The sequence below is a fragment of the Homo sapiens genome, chromosome 8 (genome assembly GCF_000001405.40).
Source record: "Homo sapiens chromosome 8, GRCh38.p14 Primary Assembly".
In the NCBI taxonomy this organism is placed as follows: Eukaryota; Metazoa; Chordata; class Mammalia; order Primates; family Hominidae; genus Homo; species Homo sapiens.
Window position 1 is genome coordinate 107,420,112 of NC_000008.11, and position 22,239 is coordinate 107,442,350.

Below are 22,239 nucleotides of genomic sequence, written 5' to 3' on the forward strand. Positions count from 1 at the left end.
TCATTGATAATTGCCTATGACTCCTACAAATTTAATTAATAAGCAATTACTTTTTATCTGACTTGCAACCTGAAAACTATTTGTATCTATTATTATTTATAGGTGCAAAATGAAGGACTTCCAGTGCTACTGCCAGTATTGGAAATAATGCCTCTGATAAACAGCTAAAGGAGTGAACCTGTGCTTCAAGCCTCCCCCAGTTCAATGTAAAAAGTGTTTCTAATCCTTGGCCAAGGTAGTCGTGTACCATACGTGACAAAGCCTATCAGTTCTTAGGAAAAAAACAACAAAAAAATTGCTGTTTGCTTTATTCCTGAAAGAAATCAGTAGAATTTAATACTATGATTGTGTGTATCGAAGGCAAACATTATAGGTTAATTGTTAGTTGTCTCTCCTCTATTTACTTTACTTTTCCATCATAAATTTGATAGAACAAGTCGTTAAAGTTGTACATCTTCCCAATCAGACGGAGAAGAACAGCCTCAGGTCTCATATCCTCTCATATATATAATACTCTCCTTATCAACCCTGGAGAAAATGAGAATTGGCCAAAACTTTTGTTATCAATCTGTTATTTAGGTCAGCATTCATATATGGTCCATGGAGGATGAATCACAAGATATTGAGTTTAGAAGTGTCCTCTAATTTCATAAAACACATAAGAACTTTGTAAGATTAAAAATAATAGTTTGTATCATCCTGTTTTTTTAGCTCTAAAAGTATGCCTGTCTATATAAAAACATATAGATATATATGAATTCCCTACCCTGCTAATCATCAAAAGAAATGATTTCATATGAAAATTATATTTATTCACTAATACTCCTGCTAACATTTATATTTGTTAATTAATACATAAATTGAAATTTATGCAAAAATTATTCTCCACTGGTTTAATTCTTTATTCTACCAGAATAATTCTTCTATTTGGAATTTAAAAACATATATCCATAAATTCTGGCATTTCTATCTCATCAGTTTTTGTAGAAATGTATGACAATATTTTATTTTATATTGGTAGAGTGAAAACGATTTTACATATTACTAACATTTTCTATTTTGCACGGAAAACTTTAAAAATTCATCAAAAGGTAAAATGTATAACCTTCATTTTTCCAATAGCTGTTAGCATTTCTCATTGTGAGTGAAAAATTGTCTTGTCTTTTCTCATCAAATTGCAATGGAAGTAGTATTAGTCACAGTTTGCATGGAAATCTGCCAGTAAAAGAAAGTCAAAAACATTTCTCTTCAAGCCTAATAAAAATGTCCAGTGGCCTTTTGTGAAGCTATAAAGTATGACTCAAGATACCAGCCAAAACAAGGAAAGAAAGAAAAAGACAGTAAAGTCTCACTTTTTCTGTACCACTTACAAGTATCCCAAAGCTATGTTTTATAAGAGAAATTCGACTTCGGTGTCTCTATCTATCCTCCCCTGAGCTAGGAAAGGAAAAGAAAACCTTCCCCATCACAAGTATACAAAAGAGGAGTCTTGCTGGTAAGGTTAGCATCTGTCAATATCAGGTCCGGTGTGAAAGCAAAGCCGCTCTTTGAATTGTTTGCTTAATAAGATCTCCAGTGAATGGAGTTTATCTGCAGCTTGGGGTTTCACAGGGAACACAATGCTTCGTGTGCATTATTTTAGATAGGAAGGAAGTTAGTTTCAGTAAAGCAAGAGAGAAGTGATAGGCTTATCATTTTATTATAATTTGAGTTTTTGCATAGAAAACAGTGAGTTTTCTAACATTGTCCATAAGCATGATAATTCATGTATTTCGTCGCAGCCATCTGATTTTTCTCTGGGACATTATTATTTGTAATGACTTCTATTCATTGTTTGTGTTCCATTTGTGAACCACTGCTATAGAATTTTAATGAGTTTCATGTTAAACACCTTTTAGAACACATTCTTTCAGTCATTCTATAGAGAGTAAGAAAGCCCATCCATACCTCTAAAATTTACTAAAATCTACTACAAATGAGAATACTTCATTCCAATTTTAAGGGTAATTTCGAGAAACATAAAATCGTTACCTTAGTCTACTGAAAACTCCATATTCAGTTCCAAATTCTCAGCTTCCTACACTAATTACAGGAACTGCTACAATGTATTATGCAGTTACATGGCAAGCAATCTGATTCCCCATTTAAACTTGTCGGCAACCTGGGAAAGAGGTATCACGGTTCTGATGAGAAAACCAGGGATCAGAGAGTCTGAGCATGTGCCCAGTGACATGCAGTTATAATTCCAATCTGAACCTCTCTGTCCATAAACCTCAAGTTCTCTCATGCCACATTGCAGTTGTCCCATAGTGTTCACAGAATAACTTTCACAAAAACACCTTTTACAAAAGAATAAATACATTTCTGGGACCCATGATACTTACCATGGCTAAATTCAGAGCACAACTGATACTAATCTTGTTTCCTTGGTCAGGCTTTGGAAATCTTGGTTCGTGGCTCCAGAGTGTCTTCCAGTTGCATCTCATCAAAGTTTTTAACATAATCGCCCACATTTGTAAATTTGCTTTTAGTCTCAAACATTCAGACACCTCTAATTATCACACCAACAACACAAAAAGGCCTGAACTAATTTTACATCTAGAGTTTCCTTAGCATTCAGTCTCATTTAAACTTTTTACTTAACCCAAACAAATCGGTCCATTAACTGCCCAAATTAGTGTTTAGATGTTACCTAAAAATAATAATAATAATGGTTTTACTCAAATATACATATTGGAAGAAAACTGAATTTGTGCAAGCAGGTCTAAATGATACGTGAAAAACTCTATAGTAAACATTTTCGCAGAGAAATTTGCAGTTACCTGGTGATTTCAGGTTGTATATAAAGAAGAATTGAGCAATGTACTTCTTGTATGATCTCCCATTTCACAAAAGGGATTAATATTATTTTTACCAATGGCTTAATGAAGATTAAAGTGCTGATGTGCTGGAGTCCGCTCATACCTTTAAGAGCTGTATGTGCACATCTCTTCACAACTCTGCATTCACTAAAATCAAGCTGGTAACCTGAATTTGGCCATGGTAGGAGTATTTACACCATGAAAACTGACAGACTATAAATCAAGCCTACTTTCTCTTCCCCCCTACTTAGATCCAGTTATTAAACATTTACTAGCACAATACTGACTAAATGAGATAAAGCGTCAATAATGAATACTGAAGTGTGCCCGCATGGTTGCACCAGGTGCAGGGAGTGCTGACTGCTGAGGACTTATAGCTGTACCTTCTCTGCAGATTGCCCTTAGCTAAGGGGAGTTGACTTGCTCAGGATTATGCCCCTTCCACATCAGACAGCTGGATGGATGTGGAGATACAAAGACCTGGGCCCCCGAAAGGCCATTCCAGCTCCGCAGCGTCTTGTGGGATTAGCTAAGTGGTCTGTTGGAACTGCATCATAGTTTAACATTTCCCTTTGCCTAGTCCTGCTTTCCTCCCTCTGAGAACACCCCCCGACTCCTCCTCACTCCCTGCCACTAAAACTGTCTGCACAAATCTCTCTCTGTCTCAGAGTCTGTTTCCCAGGGAATTTGACCTAAGACATACATGTAACATTACCTAGCACACAGTACTCGAAAAGGGTGTGAGTTTCTAATAACATATCTGTAATCATTCTTTCACTGTACCTTAGTTCTAATCTAGTTGTTAGTTGTTAGAGTTAGAGGAAATGATTTCAGGTACCTTTTCCTTTTCCTTTCTTTTTTTTTTTTTTTTTTTTTTTTTTTTTCTGAGACAGAGTCTTGCTCTGTCACCCAGGCTGGAGTGCAGTGGCACAATGTTGGCTCACTGAAATCTTTGCCTCCTGGGTTCAAGCAATTCTCCTGCCTCAGCCTCCCGAGTAGCTAGGATTACAGGTGTGCACCACCACATCGGGCTAATTTTTGTATTTTTAGTAGAGACAGGGTTTCACCATGTTGGCTAGACTGGTCTCAAACTCCTGGCCTCAAGTGATCCGCCCACCTCAGCTTCTCAAAGTGCTGGAATTACAGGAGTGAGCCACTGTGCCTGACCCCTTTTCCTCTTATTAAGTTAAAAAAAAAAATTCTGCATTGGACAACACAACCAAATAATGGCTATGTACAATCTTAGTTGGCTTCAAAATGCTAAATCTGAATCAAGTCATTTTGGAGGCCAAGCAGACAATTGGAAATTCAAATCCATTTAAGAGTCAGAAAAAAATAAAATGGTTAAACTTGACTCTGGTGATAAAATAATTTCAGGAGTTCATCAAATTTTGGTTGGTGATCTTCAAACACATCTAATTTTGAACTAAGAAGACACTGTACTCAGGGATCCTCAACTGTAACACGAATGCAAAATTGATAACTCCACTGTTCCGAGAAGGGTAACTAACAGGATGTTTCTTTAGTAATCAGATTAGCTGATATAAACCTTCTTTGGTCAATTTCAAAGAAAAAAAAATTGAATGTGATGGCCATGTTATTCCCCTCCTGAGACCACACAGGACCTAAGCATAACACATCCATTGGGAGGATTCAATGCAAACCACAACTGGAAAACATTGGGCAGCCATTCACAGCCACCCAGTAAAATAATATTCTATGTACATTCTTGGTTATGCATGAATGTTATGATGACTGCTACGGGATTAATTATTTTATTTGGAATCATAATATTTCTCAGAATCCTATGAGGAATTTTACAAAATTAAGCCATAATAATTCATATATTTGTTATACATTAAAACACAATATCTCAAACAGATTAGAAAAACTATTCTTTTTTTAAAAAAATATTTTTCAAGACAGAGTTTCTCTCTTGTCGCCCAGGCTGGAGTGCAGTGGCATCATCTCGACTCACTGCAACCTTCGCCTCCCGGGTTCAAGTGATTCTCCTGCCTCAGCCTCCTGGGTAGCTGAGACTACAGGCACGTGTCACCACGCCCAGCTAATTTTTGTATTTTTAGTAGAGACAGGGTTTCACCATCTTGGCCAGGCTGGTCTCAAACTACTGACCTTGTGATCCACCCACCTCAGCCTCCCAAAGTGCTGGGATTACAGGCATGAGCCGCTGCACCCAGCCAGAAAGACTATTCTTAAAGCATTCCTTTCTATGCATTGGAAAAATCACATTGAAGGAATATTGTTTGGTATCTGATTTCTAGTATGGAATTCAGGCTCAGCAATATGGTGACCATACGCTACTATGGGAGGTTACTATCTTGATTTTTTTCTGTTTATTCGCTGACTTATTACTTAATACAGACAACCCTGGGCAAGACAGTAGAGAAGGCACTAAGGATAATGAGAGAAATTTAGAAAGGTTATTCCTTTAATAAAACCCATAGCTTTATGGAAGAGCCCCACATGTATGAAAACAAATTCAATTCAAAATAGAGGTAATTTAGTGGCTATCTTCCCGGCATGCTTATCTTGCTTTTCTAGATAACATCACACTGCTCCTCTACATCCTTTATCCCCATTATCCTTTCCATGTTACTCTGTTGGCTCCCAGTCATAGAAACTAAATCCCTTGACACATCAGTCTCAAGGTGTGCTTGTGAGAGGCCGATCCTGGGGTTATCCCAACCGAAGTTTCTTCTCTTTTGGATCTGGAAAGATGTGAAGCAGAGGCTGAAGACAGTTACTTTCCCACAACTTGCATAAGAAAGCCAAAGCAAAAGAAAATATGAAATGGTTTCCAAGCTCTTGTCCAACCCCAAGAGCTGGTTTCCATCACTGATCCCAGAAGCAATCTTGGTATCCTTTTCAACAAGCTTGAGTTGAGTTTCTCCAGCTCTCAACAGAAAGTGCTCACCAAAGCAAGCATCGGGAACAGCTCCAGGTTTTGTGGGGCCCCAGGCTTATACCATTTGGTAATCCTCTTGGAAAATGAAAACAAAATTACAAATGCACCACCAGGTATAAAAGTGCTTATTTATTTTGAAGGAAAAGGAAAAATAAAAGTTACTGGACTTCTGGGGACTCATGTCTCTGGTGCTTTACAAACATGCTTACACAGAATTGCTTCCCAGTTGCAAACTGGCTTCCCCTCCCACAGAGAATTCTACAACAACCAGCAACTCCTTGGACACAAAGGGGCCTGTGCGCGTGAGGGATCCTGAAGGTCAGGCTTCACTCACTGCCAGATAAATCTGCCTCCAGCAGCACAGATGTCTAAAGTACAGTGGGAGAATAAAGAGAGAAAGGGCAACCCCAGTACCAGGAAAGGTTTCTCAGAGGGGTGAGCACTCTCTGGATGATTAATCAGCATTCTAAAACAGAAAGTGGGCGGGTGATCCAAGGTTGAGTGAATTATTTGCACTAAGTTACAGTGTCAAGAAATAATCGCATGTTTGAGGAAAGTTTATCTATTTAAACATGAAGACACATGAGAAAAAAAGATGATTGCAGAGTGGCAAATTGAAGAACCTCTCTCCATATAATCCTAGAATATGCTGGTTAATTTTGTGTTTTTCCTTCCCCCCTCTACTCTTCTTCCTCCTTGTATTCACTTTCCTGGACTTTGATCTTCTAGGAGGGAGGATACTTCAAAGCCCTGCTTCCAGAATTTGTATGTAGAGCATACGCCTTCTATTCTTGGGATAGAAGATTCTCCACCAAATCCCACTATTTTGTCCTTTTCCTTAAAATAAACATAGCACTCAAAAAGGGAAGAGGATAATGGAGCACAACAATAACAAATGATGTTTTACAGCAAGATCCTTAAGACACTAAGAAGCTTGAGAGGAATAACAAACACTACTCTTTTTCAATATAGGACCTATGTCACCAAAAGTTCACCAGTGTGGTGCTGGATGGAGTTGTGTGGAAAACCAGAGGATTTTTTTTAACTAGAGGGAAATGACCCTCCATATATTTAAATATATGTGTATGTATTAAAAAGTTAGCATCAAAGCAAATTGATTCAACTTTTCACAGAATTTACACAAGAATTCTAACATAGAAAAAGAATATGGGTCCACACTCTGTTCCCCATGCACTCCCTTTTCCTGATTCTGATTTTAAAACATCACTTAGCCTGGGATATAGTGGGCTTGGTGAGTCCTGTTAACTGTACTCAGGACCAGCTTGCATTAGTTAATAATACTCTTAAAGCTAAAGACATATTTGTGTGTGTTCTGGAGGAATGGGGGTTAGGGGCTGCCTAGGGGCCAGGGCTGAATTTTGTTTCAACGTTCCTGCACTGTCTCATTGCTAAGTGTCACTACCCTATCAGACATCCTGCCCTGTCAAGCTGTAATGCCAACTCAAGACATGCATCAGAGCCAGCTCTTGTCTGTTTTGTGAAGCAGATGCTGTTTCCTGAACCTCATCTGTCCTGCCCTGTACCAGCTATCTGTTGAGGTCCCTCTTCCTCCCTGTACTTGCAGACGCTCTCCTGAAGATGCTCTTGTCTCTTCAGGACAGAGTGAGACACACATGGGCTTGTCTTTCAGGTCAATGTCCAGTGTTGTTTACTTTTCTTGCTCCCCTTGTCCATAACATTTCTGTTTGATTCTCCCCTCCCTTTGTCCAAGTAAGATCTTCCACAATAATTATAATCATGAAGGGAAGGTCTCTTTCTTCCTCCTCTAGGTTTGAAGCTCTGTATGAATGGTGGATTGTTTTAGACTGTCTCTCAGTATAGTCCCCAGGTAAGACCTGGGTAAGACCAAGTTCCTGTGCATATTGATCTTCAAATTTGATCTTCTCTCAATAGGAGGAGGAGGAGAAACGGGAGTTATTATTTCTAGTGTCATTTCTGGGGAAGACACAGCTCCTAAAACAGAATGCTGAAATTGGGAAGACAGTCCTTAGACTAAGCAAGGCATTACAGGACTTTGGGAAGGCTAGGCTCCCTGAAGGCGTCCACCTGGTGAGTAGATCAAGGCAAAGGGATCCCTGCGTTACAAATTGAAGAAGCCATATTTTGAAAGGCAGCTTATCCAGTAGGAAAATTTTCAGGAACAAGGCAGCACTGTAATTTCCATATGGCCTTTCATGTGACCTTTCTCCACTTATTACCAACCACAAAGCAACTGGAATTGATGTTTAAGGAGAAAGAATGTTTCTTCGCAAGCTACAAATAATGAAATGTGGTATATAGCTTTCCTTCCCAGATGACATTCACCTTTTATGTTTCCATCTATTACCCACATCTCAGTATACATGAATTCAGTTCGTGTGGGTATAATGTCTCCCATGTGTCTAGCTCATGCTGGGCAACTTGAGAGATTACAAAAGAGCTACAAGCTCCAGAGTCTACCCTATGGGAGACAAGACTGACCCCCATGAGACTTTTTAATGCAACAATAGACTTTGCAAAGTGCAATATCCTATCCTAAAAGACCCATCCAAACAGAAACAAACAGAATGATGCTATTTTCAAGTGTGTCTGAGAAAATGTAGGTTTTCCTAAGGGTCTGTCTTCAGCTCCTTCATTTGGTCATCCCACACACTGTTTTTTGATGATCTCTTGCTTTCTAATTTAGGTTTTTCTTGGTCTTATTATTGTAGTAGTGCTGGTAGTTTTTTCATTTTGTGTGTGTGTGTGTGTGTGTGTGTGTTTTCGAGTGCTATAACTAAACAAGAACAATCACAGATACCTGCCAGTGCTTTTTTAAGCAAGGACACGTTGATAGCCACAGCATCAGTAGCTAATTCACCTTTATGGGAATCCCATTTGTTATTTTGACCTCTTGGCTCATTCTCTAACCAAATTGGCAAAATTCCCAATCCACCCAAAGGTATTATAAAAAGCATTCATCCTATTATTGTCTTCTCTTAAACCCTCAGGTAAAATGAAAGAAAAGTGATTCATTCAATATTGCCTTTCATCCATTTTGAAAATTTGAGTTTATTTCCAAATACACTAGGAACAATTCTTTTGGACAAGAGGGTTATGCTATTCTAAATCATATGCATCGGGCCATGTTACATGGTCTGAGAGTGATTTAAAAGCAAAAACAAACAAACAAGCGACAATCAATAGTTATATTTAAGACGCTTAAGGGAATGGATAACCAAGTTATTTAAGGATAACTAAGTACCAATTGCTCAAATTAATAGGTGCTTATATGTCACAATGTCAAGCTGTGACATGATTCTTTGCCTCTTACAGGGCCTTGAGAGAAATAGGGGTTGAGTCATTTAAAGCATGAAGGAACACAGTGAGGCACTCATAAGATGAGACCGGTTACTGCAGGCGAGTGAAACCCGGACTTCCCGGGGAGGCTCTCCAATCACCATCTCACCACTTAACAGTTCAGTTAACAAATTTGGACAAAAAGCAACTGAAAACTTCATCCTTAATGATCAAACCCCCTTGAAGCCGAAGTTTCCAAAGGCTTTACTAAAAGAATGGGTGTCACTAATCAATAATGACACTGAGCGGGACACTCCCAAGGAGCTTGCTTTCTGAGAGATGTTTGTTAACCCAGCAGGAAGAGTCTGCAGTGAAATGCTTCTTACTTCAGGGTTAATTATTTGTCTTTTTTCTCCAGAGCCAATAGGAGCTCAAAGAAAGAATAAAAGCCTATTGCTGAGCTCCAGGAGGAAAAAAAAAAAAAAAAAAAAAGTCGACTCTGCTGGGTTCCCAGCAACTAGTTAGTTTTTGGATTGCTTTTGTCTTGGTGAGAGAGAAATTCCTGGAGTGTGGTCAAAGGATCGTCACTGTTTTTAATAGAGTCAAGGAGTTTTCTGTAGACTAATATTATTTTTGAAATGCAGGCTTCCACAAATCTTTTGTTTTAGGACACTCTGACAGAATGATGGTTTATTGTGATTAACATAAAAGTAAAAGCAATAAAAAGGTAACAAAAAGAATCACATAGTTGGGTCAATAAATGGGTAACATTTCATTTCTGAGAGAAAAAAATCCATTTGTCATGTGGGTGATTTTTCATTTTTAAAGTCACAGGTTAAGTAATAACATACATATGAATCAACTTTTTGGTTAGAATCTTACTTCTGAAACGTACTGAAAGAATGTGTGCTTTTTTTGTTTGTGTGTGTGTTTTTTATTAGAATTTTTAACTAATTAGTATACAGAAAAAAAGTCCTTGAAAGCATTTTAACTCCTAAGGTAATGTTTAATGTTCTTGGAATTTCACAAGAATTCTGAATATAATTCTAAATGAAAATGGAGTTTACTATTAATGAAAAATTAGTTTGGGACAAATGGTCTTTACTGATGTTTTAAATATGAGAGAATGTTTGCGTGGTTCTTTCTGTACCATCCTCGGGCTAAGTACTCACAATGCAGCCTGCAGCACCTTGTCACATTTTACTATCACTTTTGGTTCACATGGCTGACTCCCAACTATACTTTGAGCTCCTTGAGGGCAGAGTTCATACCTATTCACTCTTTCTCACCTACAATTTAAACAAATATTTTTCTAGATTGCATCCGTGTGGTAGGCTAAATAATGTCCCCCTTCTAAACCTTGGAACTTGTGACTATGTTACCTTACATGGTAAAAGGAAATTGCAAATGAGATTAAATCATCCAGGTAAGCCCAATGGAATCATAAAGTCCTTTATAAGAGAAAAGCAGGAGTAGTAAAAGATGTGATGGTGGAAGCAAGAGGTTATACTGATGCAGGGAAGTAGTGGTCAGCGGGTCAGGGTTTATAGGTGACCTCTAGAAGCCGAAAAAGACAAAGAAATCTATTCTCCCTTTAGGGCCTCCAAAAGGAACCAACTTTGCCTACACCTTGGTTGACTACATTTGAGACAATGTGTTACAGCAGCAATATGAAACAGCAATACAGTCTGTTATTATTTGGTGCACTAAGATTAACTATTCTCCTTGAGTTCTCTGATGAACCTCTTGGTATCACATATTCTTAGAAAAGGCAGCAATTATTTGAAAGGTGAAAATTCTTGAGTTTCTAAGTTAAACTTCCTGGATTCAAAGCTCAGCTCTGTACTAATTGCTATCTGAACTTGGTGTCATTTAACCTCTCAAAACCTCACTCTCCCCTTGGTAAAATGGAGATAACAATAGTTCTTATAGAACAGGCTATTTTGCCTCTGATAATTAAATAAGGTAGTGCATGTGTGTGTGAGAGAGAGACAGTGTGTGTGTGTTTAGCACATTACATTGTATATAGTATATTGGTCAGTGATTTTGGTTTATAATTAGAAAATGTAAGCATAAAAAAAATTGACTGTGTCTAATAAATCACCTTGCAAAAACACAGATTTTGGTTGGAAGTCACTTGTCGTGTTGCCCATTACAAATGACACACACCTAGGTTGTCACAGAGCAGAGGAGGAATTTTCTAAGTGTTCACTTTTCCAATAGGTTTAGTAACTGAGGACAGATCCAGAACACAACACACTTAAGCTAAAGTGACTTCATCTTTACTCTGGCTCTCTTAGACTGCCTGAGTTCTCTTCACATTACATGTCCTGCCAGGTCCCGGAGCCTTGCACAGGCCACATGCCCTCTTCCAGGAATGTCTTCATCTTACTATCAACCTCTTTCTTCCTTAGCAAGATCTGCAATCTCTGTGACGTCTTTCCTGCCTTCTCAAGCTCCTAGTTTTGAATTCCAGTTCTCCCAACATACTGTCATAAGAATCTCCTTAATGCTTGTATCTACCTTCCTACCAGATTTTCAGGGAAACTACTCTGTCTTTTTTTTTTTTATCATCAAAGTATCATGCTAGGCACTGAGGAAACAGTTCAAGAAATTCAAAGACTAGATTGCTTCATAAACCAAGTCTTTGCAGATGACCCAGTGGTTTAAGTTACATTAAGCATATATCCCTCCAGAAATACATACAAATACCTTATAACAAACTTACATCTTAAAATGAATATTACCAGCCTCAATATTTTAATCCATTAGAGTATTTGTATTTGATACATATTTCAGCAAACTCTGGCAACTCAATTGAGCATAGATGTTGGCATAAGAAAAAATTATTGGTACCTCTCTAATAACACAATTAATACCATCATAAAATTAAACTTTTTTACTGTGTGACAAAAGAATTGATATTTGAGGGATTAAAATAAAAATTTACAAGATCATGCAATTATAAAAAAAAAAAACTGAACCGTAAAATCTTTTAAAAAGAGAATACTTCACTTTCCCCCAAAGACATTATAGACTAAAATATAAATATTCCTTATCCCAAATAAATTATTTTGGGATTATTCCTTTTCTATAACGATGTTATAAGAGTCAGGTAAGACAATAGGATTTACTTTCCAGAGAATTTTCTGAGATATAGCTTTCTTAGGAAATAAAAAGATATCTGCTTTTAATTCCTCAGTGAGGCTGGGCACGGTGGCTCACGCCTGTAATCCCAGCACTTTGGGAGGCCAAGGCAGGCAGATCACGAGGTCAGGAGATCGAGACCATCCTGGCTAACGTAGTGAAACCCTGTCTCTGCTAAAAATACAAAAAATTAGCCACGCATGGTGGCGGGTGACTGTAGTCCCAGCTACTCGGGAGGCTGAGGCAGGAGAATGGCGTGAACCCGGGAGGCAGAGCTTGCAGTGAGCCGAGATCGAGCCACTGCACTCCAGCCTGGGCAACAGAGCGAGACTCCATCTCAAAAAAAAAAAAAAAAAGTCCTCAATGAACAGGTGTTTAACTCACCTTTCAGATTTCAAATAAATGCTTAATGTATTAGATATCTGATAAGTACTGTTAATAACAAGGATTTATTTCAAAGGATATGTATATTATACTCTGGTTCATTCAAATAAATATTCAAGGTCATCTTGACAATGTCAGAGAATTGTCCTGTCTCACTATCTGAGTTCTTTGCAGAATCTTCTGGTTTAATCGTTCTTTTTATTTGGACATTTATTTCTGTAGGCATTCATTCCAGTTTGCAATTTATAATTTGTTCTTACAAAGAGAGTTTTTATAAAAGCAATGATGTCTTGACTTAAAAAAAACCTCAAATTAATAAACATTCATATTTCACATTCATGTGAAATAATTCTCTTTTTCCCCTCTTTTTTTTGTAAAAGACTTTTTAAGCATTTAACTTTCTTAAATAGTAGTTGAGATCATTGCCCATTTGGTGTGGGTATAGGGGAAATTGGGCTGGTTGTTTTTTTCATTTTGTGCTAATGAGTCCCAAAATATAGAATTGATACCTGGGGGTAGAGAAGACCAGCTAGAAGTTAACTTCAGACCTTTGGTGTCAGATTATTCTTTTTCATTACTGCTACCAAGTAGCAGATACATATCAGGGAAGGAATATTCTATTGCAAGTGATTGGATAGGTAAGTGTTTTTCCCCTAGGAAACCATGGTTGCCTTATGAAATAGTTCTGTGGCTTTCAAGATCCTGTGCAGAGAAAGGACATGTCCAGACATACTATTCAATCAGGTTATTAATAAAGAGACATTGAGTAAAGTATTAAAAGCAAAAAGATTGTCCCTGACATGAAAGATGGACAAGCAAATAATACAAATAAAGACACTGGGCAGCATTTTCCTCATCTAGAAAATTACTGGATTGAAATATCATCTTTCAATTTATTTCAGCTATTATGGTCCATAATTTTAAAAGGATGAAACAGGATATTAGCATCTATCATAAGCCAGGCTTCTAGGACCAATCCTTCAAACATTTCATTCTGTTCATGCTTTTTCTTGTCTCTAACTGAAGGTTTAAAAGTTTCAATAGATATCTGTGTAAAAAAGATACATACACACACAAAGAGAGGGTAGATGAGCATGAACTGGAGAACTGGAAGTGTACATCTCATCCAGATGTCTGTGCCATTACAAGTGCAACAATTTTCAAAGGCAGGATGTTATAGATTCCCTCACCCACACACAAATTTATAAATTCATCAAGCTCCTACTATTCCAAATACTGTGAAAGGTGATAGGAACATATAATTCACTATATCATAGTCCTTATCTTTCCTTTCCTATACTAAGTTTGAGTTTCAAAATATCATACTCAGTGAGTCAAAACTGAAAAAGAGGCAAATTTGATTGAGGAAAGGGGTGACTATTGGAGAAGTATTTGAGCTGTTATCAATAGAAGCATTGAACTGTGGTCCAAATAAGATTTTAATATCTAAGTAGAGAGAAAAGGTAATAACATTCCCACAGGGAGGGAACAGTTTTAGTAATGATACAGATGTGTGATATGCTTGGCAAGTCTTGAGAACAGTGGGAAGTGTAGCATGTGTAATAGGCCGGGCGGGAAAGTGGGAGTGGCAGGAATGAAACAGGAAAAGGAGTCTGGACTCAATGCATGCTAGGGATTTTGGACATCATTGCGTGGACAACTTGAAATCATGGAAGGTTTTTAAGTGGGGGATTTGAAATACTTCGCTTGGGGTTGGGAGGCAGAACTGTCGGGGATAATGCCAGAGTGATGGGGTCAACGAAATCGTGTATTGACCTATTCAGAAAGTCCAGGGGAATAAGCTCAAGGACCTGAATTCAGTAGAGGAGATGAACGATTAAAGAGACTTTGCCCTAAGAAAGGCAGTCTCAGCTAAGACAAACTTTAAAAAAAAAGAAAAAAATACTAAACTTCAATAGCAAATTAACTAAGTTAAAGTATATAGGCTGGCCTAGCTCTAACCCTGATTACATGGCAATGATTTGTAATTAGTGGATTAAAGGAAAAGACTGTCTCATGGCTTCTATTTTTGATATACTGATAATGTTTGCTTGTAAATGTATACCCAATAAGTTTAGAAAATAATTATTTGAAATGGTTTTTCCCTGAAAGTGGTAAATGTCCCCACTGAATCATGTTTAAACTCTTAGCTGTTGAGCAAATCCATTTAGAAATAGTTAATGACTATTTAAACTGCAGTCAAATTCATTCAAAAATCACTTTTATTTAGTGAAGTGTGAATGAAAGAGGAATACTTGTTTGCCCTTTAGTGATTCTCTAATCACTAAATTAGATTTTCTATGTAATCACCATAATAATATTATTTTAATATACACCGTTTCCCTCATGATGGGGGTGGATATTAAAATAATATTTTCATAGTAGTTGGAGCTGGGAAGGAGAAAGGACTGTAAATGAGCACAAGGGATCCTTTAGAGTGACAGAAATGTTCAGAAATTTGATTGTGGTGCAAACTGCACTTGTCTGTAAATTAACTAAAAGTCATCGGACTGTACATTTAAAATGAGTGAATTTTATGGTAGGTAAATCATACCCCCCAAAAGCTGTTAAAGAACATTATTAGTGTGCATGTGTGAAGGACTTTAAATCTGCTAAATGAGACAGTAAATCTTGCAGTCATTTATCTAATAACAGCTTATAGAGACGTTACTACGGACAGGTGTTTTCTAGACAAATGCTTCTCAAAATGTAATGTGTACAAGAATTAACAGAGGATAGTAAATGCAGATTCTAATTCAGTAGGTCTGGTGCTAGGCCCATAATTTTACCATTTTAACAAACTTCCGGGGAGTGTCATGTGTTGGCTGAGAAACCACATCTAAATGTCAAGGTTCTGGGCACAGGGATCTGGCAAGGGAACAAGAAGGTAATTTTCTTACTCCTACAGAGCTGACATGCTAAGAAGGGAGGCAGGTAGTAAGGAAGTAAACAAATAAAAGCTCAAGATTGTTTCTCATATTTACTACACAGCCTTCAGAAGAGCCCTATGATTCAGCATTCTTTCAAAACCTTTTATTCATTGCCCACCATGTGCCGGGGATGACGATAGGCACTGGAGATACAATTGTAAGCATACTGTAATTTCTGATGTTATAGAATTTACAATCTAGTGCCAGACCCATTGCACCTTCAAAATAACCCTATGAGGTATATAATACAATACAATTTTACTGATTGATTGATTGGTTGATTAGACAGGGTCCCATTGTGCCACCCAGGCTAGAGTGCAGTGGCCTAATCACAGCTTACTGCAGTCTCAACCTCCTGGGCCCAAGCCATCCTCTCACCTCAGCCTCCCGAGAAGCTGGGACCACAGGAGTGCACTACCATGCTTGTCTAATTTTAAAACTTTTTTTTGTAGAGATGGGGTCTCTCTATGTTGCCCAGGCTGGTCTCCAACTCCTGAGCACTAGCAATCCCCCTGCCTTGGCCTCCCAAAGTGCTGGGGTTAGAGGCATGAGCCACAGTGCCTGGCCAATACTCTCATTTTTAGAAGCAGAGCATGTGAATCAGAAAAGGTAAGTCCTTTCTTCAAGGCCACACAGTATTCACACTGGGCCTCAATCCTAAGACTTCATGTCAACACTATGCTAGACTATACACTCTTCAATTTCATTGCTACAGGAAGAAATGGGAAATTTACATTGCATTCATCCTCCAGAATATTATGTTCTTTTGGGCTTTGGTGCCCTTGGCAAACTGTACTGTCTATTTGTTAGCTTAGTTCTTTCCTCTTTCTGGGTCTCACGTTATTCAAGCCCTCTTGTGCTTATATGGAACGTTGTAATTTAGATCTGCATTTCTTTCTCTTCTTTGCTACCAATTTCAGCAACCTTCTGCGGATCTATTTATACTCTCTCCTCCTGGGAATTTGAAGTTCATCTTCATTTATCGTCTGCAGATGTACTTCTCATGCTACTTACTTCCTCTTTTCAGCTCACTAATGATGTTGTTAAACAAAATAGAACCCAACACTGACCCGTGAGGACAGCCCCTCAGATTCTGTGCTCATTTTATGTCAATCATCCATTTCTTCAATGGAATGTCTTAGCTTAAAGTGCTCGTACTGGGACAAGAACAAACCACTGAAGTTTACATAAGAATATAAATTCCTGGATACATATGGGAGAAATATTTGAAAATCAACAACTTATTTGTATAACTATGAAAAATTACAAGAAATATAAAATGGAAAATTATATGCTAGTATATTTAAACAGTTGAGATAACATTTATTGAACACAAACATGTCAGCTACTTAATTTTATTATTAGTATCTCTAATTATTAAAGTCATCTACCAATATAGTTACATTTCACACCAGGAACTGCTGGTTGGGTCAGAAACTGAGGGACAGTGAGGTGAGGTTACATTTCCAGGACTTTCTCCGAAGTGCATATATTTTTCTAATATTACATATTGCTTAAATAAATACATATTTTTGGTTGTCATTTTAACTGGCCTGTTAAGAAACTGTGCTACTTTTCTAATTTGAGATATGAAACTTCTCATACTCTCCCAAAGAGTACCTGATTTGAAGAATGTGAAAAAGTGTTCGTTTCTCCTTGACTCTACAAGAATCAGTAATTTTCTGACAAAAATCCGTAGGTCTAGCCTGTTATAGAGAAAGGTATCACTAACTACCTTGAAATTAAGTTTTGTGAAACAATTTCCAGGTTTTATAAAGCTGGAGGAGAAAAGAGAAGGAAGACAAAGAGAGCTGAAGTATGTAAATGGCCTATAGTATTTGAATAGCTATGGTTTCAAGGCAATTATATTAAGTACACAAACCTGATTTTAATGGCCATGCTTAGAAGATGGGCAGAGTGCTAAATGTGTAAGTCATTATGAACTTGGCACAGTAGCTCTGTTTATTTTAACCTTTCTTTTGCTGCTTTTGTTGAGGATGTTTACTTAACCAGGCTCTATTAAACATGCTAAAAACATTATTGCAGACTTTGTCTTTGTGAGCACTTTCAGTTGACAAGCCACAGAAGTGACAACTCATCAGGAATCATAGATGACAGCAGATAAGCTAGAGTGGCATGAAGAGGACAGACAGATATCTTTTCATCTTGGACTAAAAAAATAAGAAAAAGAAAAAGAAAAAAAAAACTTTAGTGAAATTCAGTGTTTCTAAAATGCAAAGGACTGGTTGTATTGGAGACTGAATTATTGTATTTACCTGAACAGCAGAACCTGTGTAGGGCACTCTGGAGGATGCTGCCCTCCAGTGCGCTGTGACCCTGCTGGACCTGCGTGACTAGCACACTCTGGCGTGGAGAAAATCTCATGCCTCAAAGTCCATACTGAACCTTGTTATTCTAAGCATCCGATAGGTGCCAAACACCTTAACCCTCCACAATGTTACCCAAGTCTAGGAAGGAAGAAAGCTCTTTTATTTGTTTCACAATGCAGAGATAAGGAAATGAGAAACTACAGAATCATTTGTTAATAATGGCCCATGTGAAATCCCAGTTTACCTTTAGCATTATGATTATTTCTTTTCCTTCTTTCCTTTCCTTCTACCTCTTCTTTGTCCTTCTTCTCCTTCTTTGATATCATCATCTTCTTCTTCTTCTTCTTTGTCACCTCCATCTTTATTAGTCTTTGGAGGGGGTCTTTTTGTCATTTGATATAATTCCAGTGATATTTCCTGATAAAGACTGTTCATCCATATAAAAATACATTCTAAATACTTATTGAAAATAGTTTGAATCTTTCTATTTTGAAGATTTTAAATATCAGGTTCTTACAAAATATGTTCCTAGTAGAAAGGTGGTAATTTTATTCTAAACACGGAAACTGAAGAATTTTTGTTATACACTGTAATTATTTATGAAAACAATCTTCAAAGACAGCAAATTGGCATCAGGGGAGAAAACCATATGCTTATCTTTACTATTTATATAAATGTTAACCTGATATTTTAGGCTATGGTTATCACCAAAATTATCTGATATGTTCTTTTGAAGTTTGTTGACAAAAACCACTCCAGATGCAAATTCATTTTATGTAGTGGGTGGTCTTAGAAGAAAATAATTGTCTTATTTATTGAAAAATGAGCATCCAAAAATATTTTTACCAGGGTTTAGAGAGGGCAGGATTAATAAATATAATAATTAACATGAGAGAATGAATGTATGCTACATAAAACCATATGTTATTTGATTTACGAACAAAATGTATTTTTTAATGAAATGAATTTTTGAGATCTAAAAACAACATATTATTTTTACATAAAGTTGTTCATGTTCACATATATAGAGTCTCCTGTAGATTGTGGAATATGGACTACTGCTTATGATAGTGTTTACAATCTAATATACTTTTTATGCTAGTGAACATCACTTGCTTATGAGAAAAAAAGAAAGTTTAGATACATATTAGTCACTCAGACTTATAGGAAATCACTTAGCAAATTTCTAGGTTGTTATCATACCAGACTTAATCTGGAAATGCCATTAATTTAGAAACCAGTAAATACAGATTCCAGTGCAGGCCCATAGAACTAAGAACCAGGGCTTCAGAGTCAGACCTGGGAGTAAGTTATTTAACTTCTTCTAACCTTATTGTCCCCATCTGTAAAACGGAGATAATAACTGTATTGTACAAAGTTTTCTAGAAAGCCAAAATGAGAAAATTAACATCATGACCTTATGTCAGTGCCTAAATGTACTCAACCAATTTTACTTTCCTTTACTTTAGGAAGTAGGAATGTTCTCCACAGGGACAAGAGCCATCTTTGATCTATATTTATGGCTGTCAGAGAGCTTGGTAGAGTGTTTTACATGAATCACTTTTTAACGAATATCTGTAGAAATAAGGAAGAAAGGAAAAAAAGACCTGCTTCCAATGCTAAACCAATTCCTGTTCTAATATGAGACAGAACTTACATAAGTAAATATTTATGTTTGAAATTTGCATGTAAAAATAAATACTATCCTCAAGGCACATACCAGCTGCTAAATTACACTCAGGAAAGGAGTTTGTATTGCTGCTCAAAAGGATTTGAATAAAAGTATTCTGTGGTTCTTCATAGTGTCCATGAAAATAAGGAAACAATACAAGCAGGCAGGCTCACCAGGAGGCCCTTAAAAGAGTCTATGTGTGCTGAGCTTGGCTCAGGCTGAGACTGTTGAAATTCAGAAGTAGAGGAAGAAAAAACACTGAGTAGGAATCAGTAGACTCGGTATTAGTCTGGACATGGTGGGTAATTGGAATGGGGAGGGGATGCCAGGGGTATCTGCCTCGGAAACCATGGTGCAGGGAAAGCAGAATAGATGGGCTAAGGAGGGATCATAATTCCCTTTTCTTCCCCATGTTTAGATTTAGGTGATGGCAGAACATCTAAGTAAAGATGTTCCATAAACAGAAAGAAATATGTGACTGGGTAGAATATGAAAGGTCAGGGCAGGAGAGGAAGTTCTGGAAATTGTCTGCATAGAGGTGGGTGGTACATAAAATTGAGGGCTCAAGCATCTTGACTTGCTCAGAGAATGTGGCTTGCAAACCACAGAAGATGATTAAAAACATTCACTATTTTAATTACATTTTTTTAAAGTTTCTACATTCCCTCTGGGGGTTAATACAGCATCAAATTTTACACACTTACTCATTTAGATCTAGGAGAAACTTGAGAAAATTCTGATCCAATTTCTTTAGTTTATAGGCAGGTAGCAGCCCAAGTGGGTGAAATGACATGGTCAAGGTTATTGAGCAAATAGGTTTCCATTTTTTCATTCATTCAGTAAATACAAATATGCAGATATACATGAGAGCAAATGTGGGATGATTCAAAGTCCTATGCTAGCATGCATTTTTGTTTACAAATTGTCAATTCTTTTGTGACTATAATTTAGATTCGCACTTGTGCTAAATTAAAATATGCATACTTTAAATGATTGACTTAAAGCAATGTATAATACCATAATTGGAAAACCAAAGGTCTTCTACAAGCATTAACATGTCCTTTTAAAAACAACAGGCTGATGGTGTTTAACTATATTCACCTTTAGAAATATTTCCTCACTTTAGCAGAAGTAAGTCAGAATAACCAGTAGGTAATATAGAATATTTTCTAAACTTCAATTTGAAGATATATGATATTTCTGTTTTTTAAAGTTGATCCTGCCATGTCATATGCTTAACTTAAAATGTCTAATGTGGACACTCTAAACTAGAGAAAAGAGATACTCTTTCCAAATCACCTTTTATGTACTTGGATAAAACCAAAGGAAAGGAAATAAATCTAGCAGAAACCAACCATGGCAATGCTTTCAGGTTTCAGTTGTTTATTTAGAAAATCACTCAATCATTATCTTGATACTTTAACTACACAGTTTATTCAACTGACAGTAGCCAGAATAAAGCAAATTCATTAAGCTATGAGTTTTGGCTTTGATTTGTTTCTGGTAATAGTCTTTCAAATGATTACACAGCTTATAATTAAGTAAGTCAACCGACAGAAAATTGATTACCTTCCAAGCAAGTGCTGTCTATCTATCCTTAATCATCTTTCTTGGAAAGTTCTCTCATATAATATTGTTTTCCTAAAACTTCAACATACATACTGGTTTATTTTCTACCCCTAGGGATCATGCAAAGCAATCATAATAACTCCTTTGGCCTGGTAATCTTTTCAATATTCGAAGAAAGCTACCAGGTTCCCTCTGAGTTCACTTGTACCCTAGTTATTCCTCCTTCTGAATTGCACTAAGTCTCTTGCTCTACTGGATTTTCTCCACAGAATTTGTTGTTGTTCACTTAGGACTTTCTATAATGTGGTACCCCATTGCCAAGTAGAGAGAAAATCAGCTCATCAGCTCAGGAGTCGGACAGATCTTTATTTGAATTGCTGCTTCATCACTAACAGGTTGTTTAATCCTAAACAATTTATTCAATCTCCTTGAACCTCAGTTTTCTTATGTGTAAAATTGGAAATGAGAATAATAACCTCCGAGTCCTTTGTGATGACTAAATGAGATTATACGTGGTTCAGGGCCTGGTGTGGCTCTTATCTAACCCACACCCCTAATAGAAGTCAGGTCTTTGCAGATTAAAAAGGGGAGTCCTGGCCAGGCGCATGGCTCATGCCTGTAATCCCAGCACTTTGGGAGGCCGAGGTGGGTAGATCACGAGGTCAGGAGTTCGAGACCAGCCTGACCAACATAGTGAAACCCTGTCTCTACTGAAAATACAAAAATTAGGCAGGGGTAGTGGCGCGCATCTGTAATCGCGGCTACTCAGGAGGTTGATGCAGGAGAATCGGTTGAACTCGGGAGGTGGAGGTTGCAGTGAGCCAAGATCACGCCATCGCACTCCAGCCTCGGTGACAGAGTGACACTCCGTCTCAAAAAAAAAGCTGGGGGAGTCCCATCACCTCGTAGATCCAGAGGTCATGTTTTAGCTGGAAGTCAAGGAGAATTGAACGTGTATTTAAACATTTGCATGTTTCACATATGCTCATGCACGTACCTCCTTAATAAAGTGATCATGAGTATGACATCACAAAATACTTCTATTGAATATCTGTGGCAATGTAAATGACAGAAGATGAAAAAGGAAAAGAATACATTTGGGCAAAGAGTAGTTTAGACCAACAAATACAAACTAGTGTAG

The 22,239-nt window shown here is 37.3% G+C and overlaps 1 protein-coding gene across 3 annotated transcripts in view, besides 3 other annotated features; it reads right to left on the bottom strand.

Moving 5' to 3' along the window:
- The window catches only part of ANGPT1 (angiopoietin 1), a 248,437-nt gene that overhangs the window by 170,630 nt on the left and 55,568 nt on the right, over positions 1-22,239 (bottom strand). The window lies entirely within an intron of this gene.
- Positions 8,724-9,225: an enhancer, noted in NCBI's record as "OCT4-NANOG-H3K27ac hESC enhancer chr8:108441063-108441564 (GRCh37/hg19 assembly coordinates)". NCBI's record gives its function as "activates a minimal SCP1, AML or CMV promoter by ChIP-STARR-seq in naive H9 embryonic stem cells {active_cell/tissue: H9 hESC(naive)}" and the evidence as "EXISTENCE:reporter gene assay evidence [ECO:0000049][PMID:30033119]".
- Positions 9,226-9,725: an enhancer, noted in NCBI's record as "OCT4-NANOG-H3K27ac hESC enhancer chr8:108441565-108442064 (GRCh37/hg19 assembly coordinates)". NCBI's record gives its function as "activates a minimal SCP1, AML or CMV promoter by ChIP-STARR-seq in naive H9 embryonic stem cells {active_cell/tissue: H9 hESC(naive)}" and the evidence as "EXISTENCE:reporter gene assay evidence [ECO:0000049][PMID:30033119]".
- Positions 19,785-19,981: a silencer, noted in NCBI's record as "fragment chr8:108452124-108452320 (GRCh37/hg19 assembly coordinates)". NCBI's record gives its function as "represses an EF-1alpha promoter that drives an FKBP-Casp9 reporter gene in an ReSE screen in HepG2 liver carcinoma cells {active_cell/tissue: HepG2}" and the evidence as "EXISTENCE:reporter gene assay evidence [ECO:0000049][PMID:32094911]".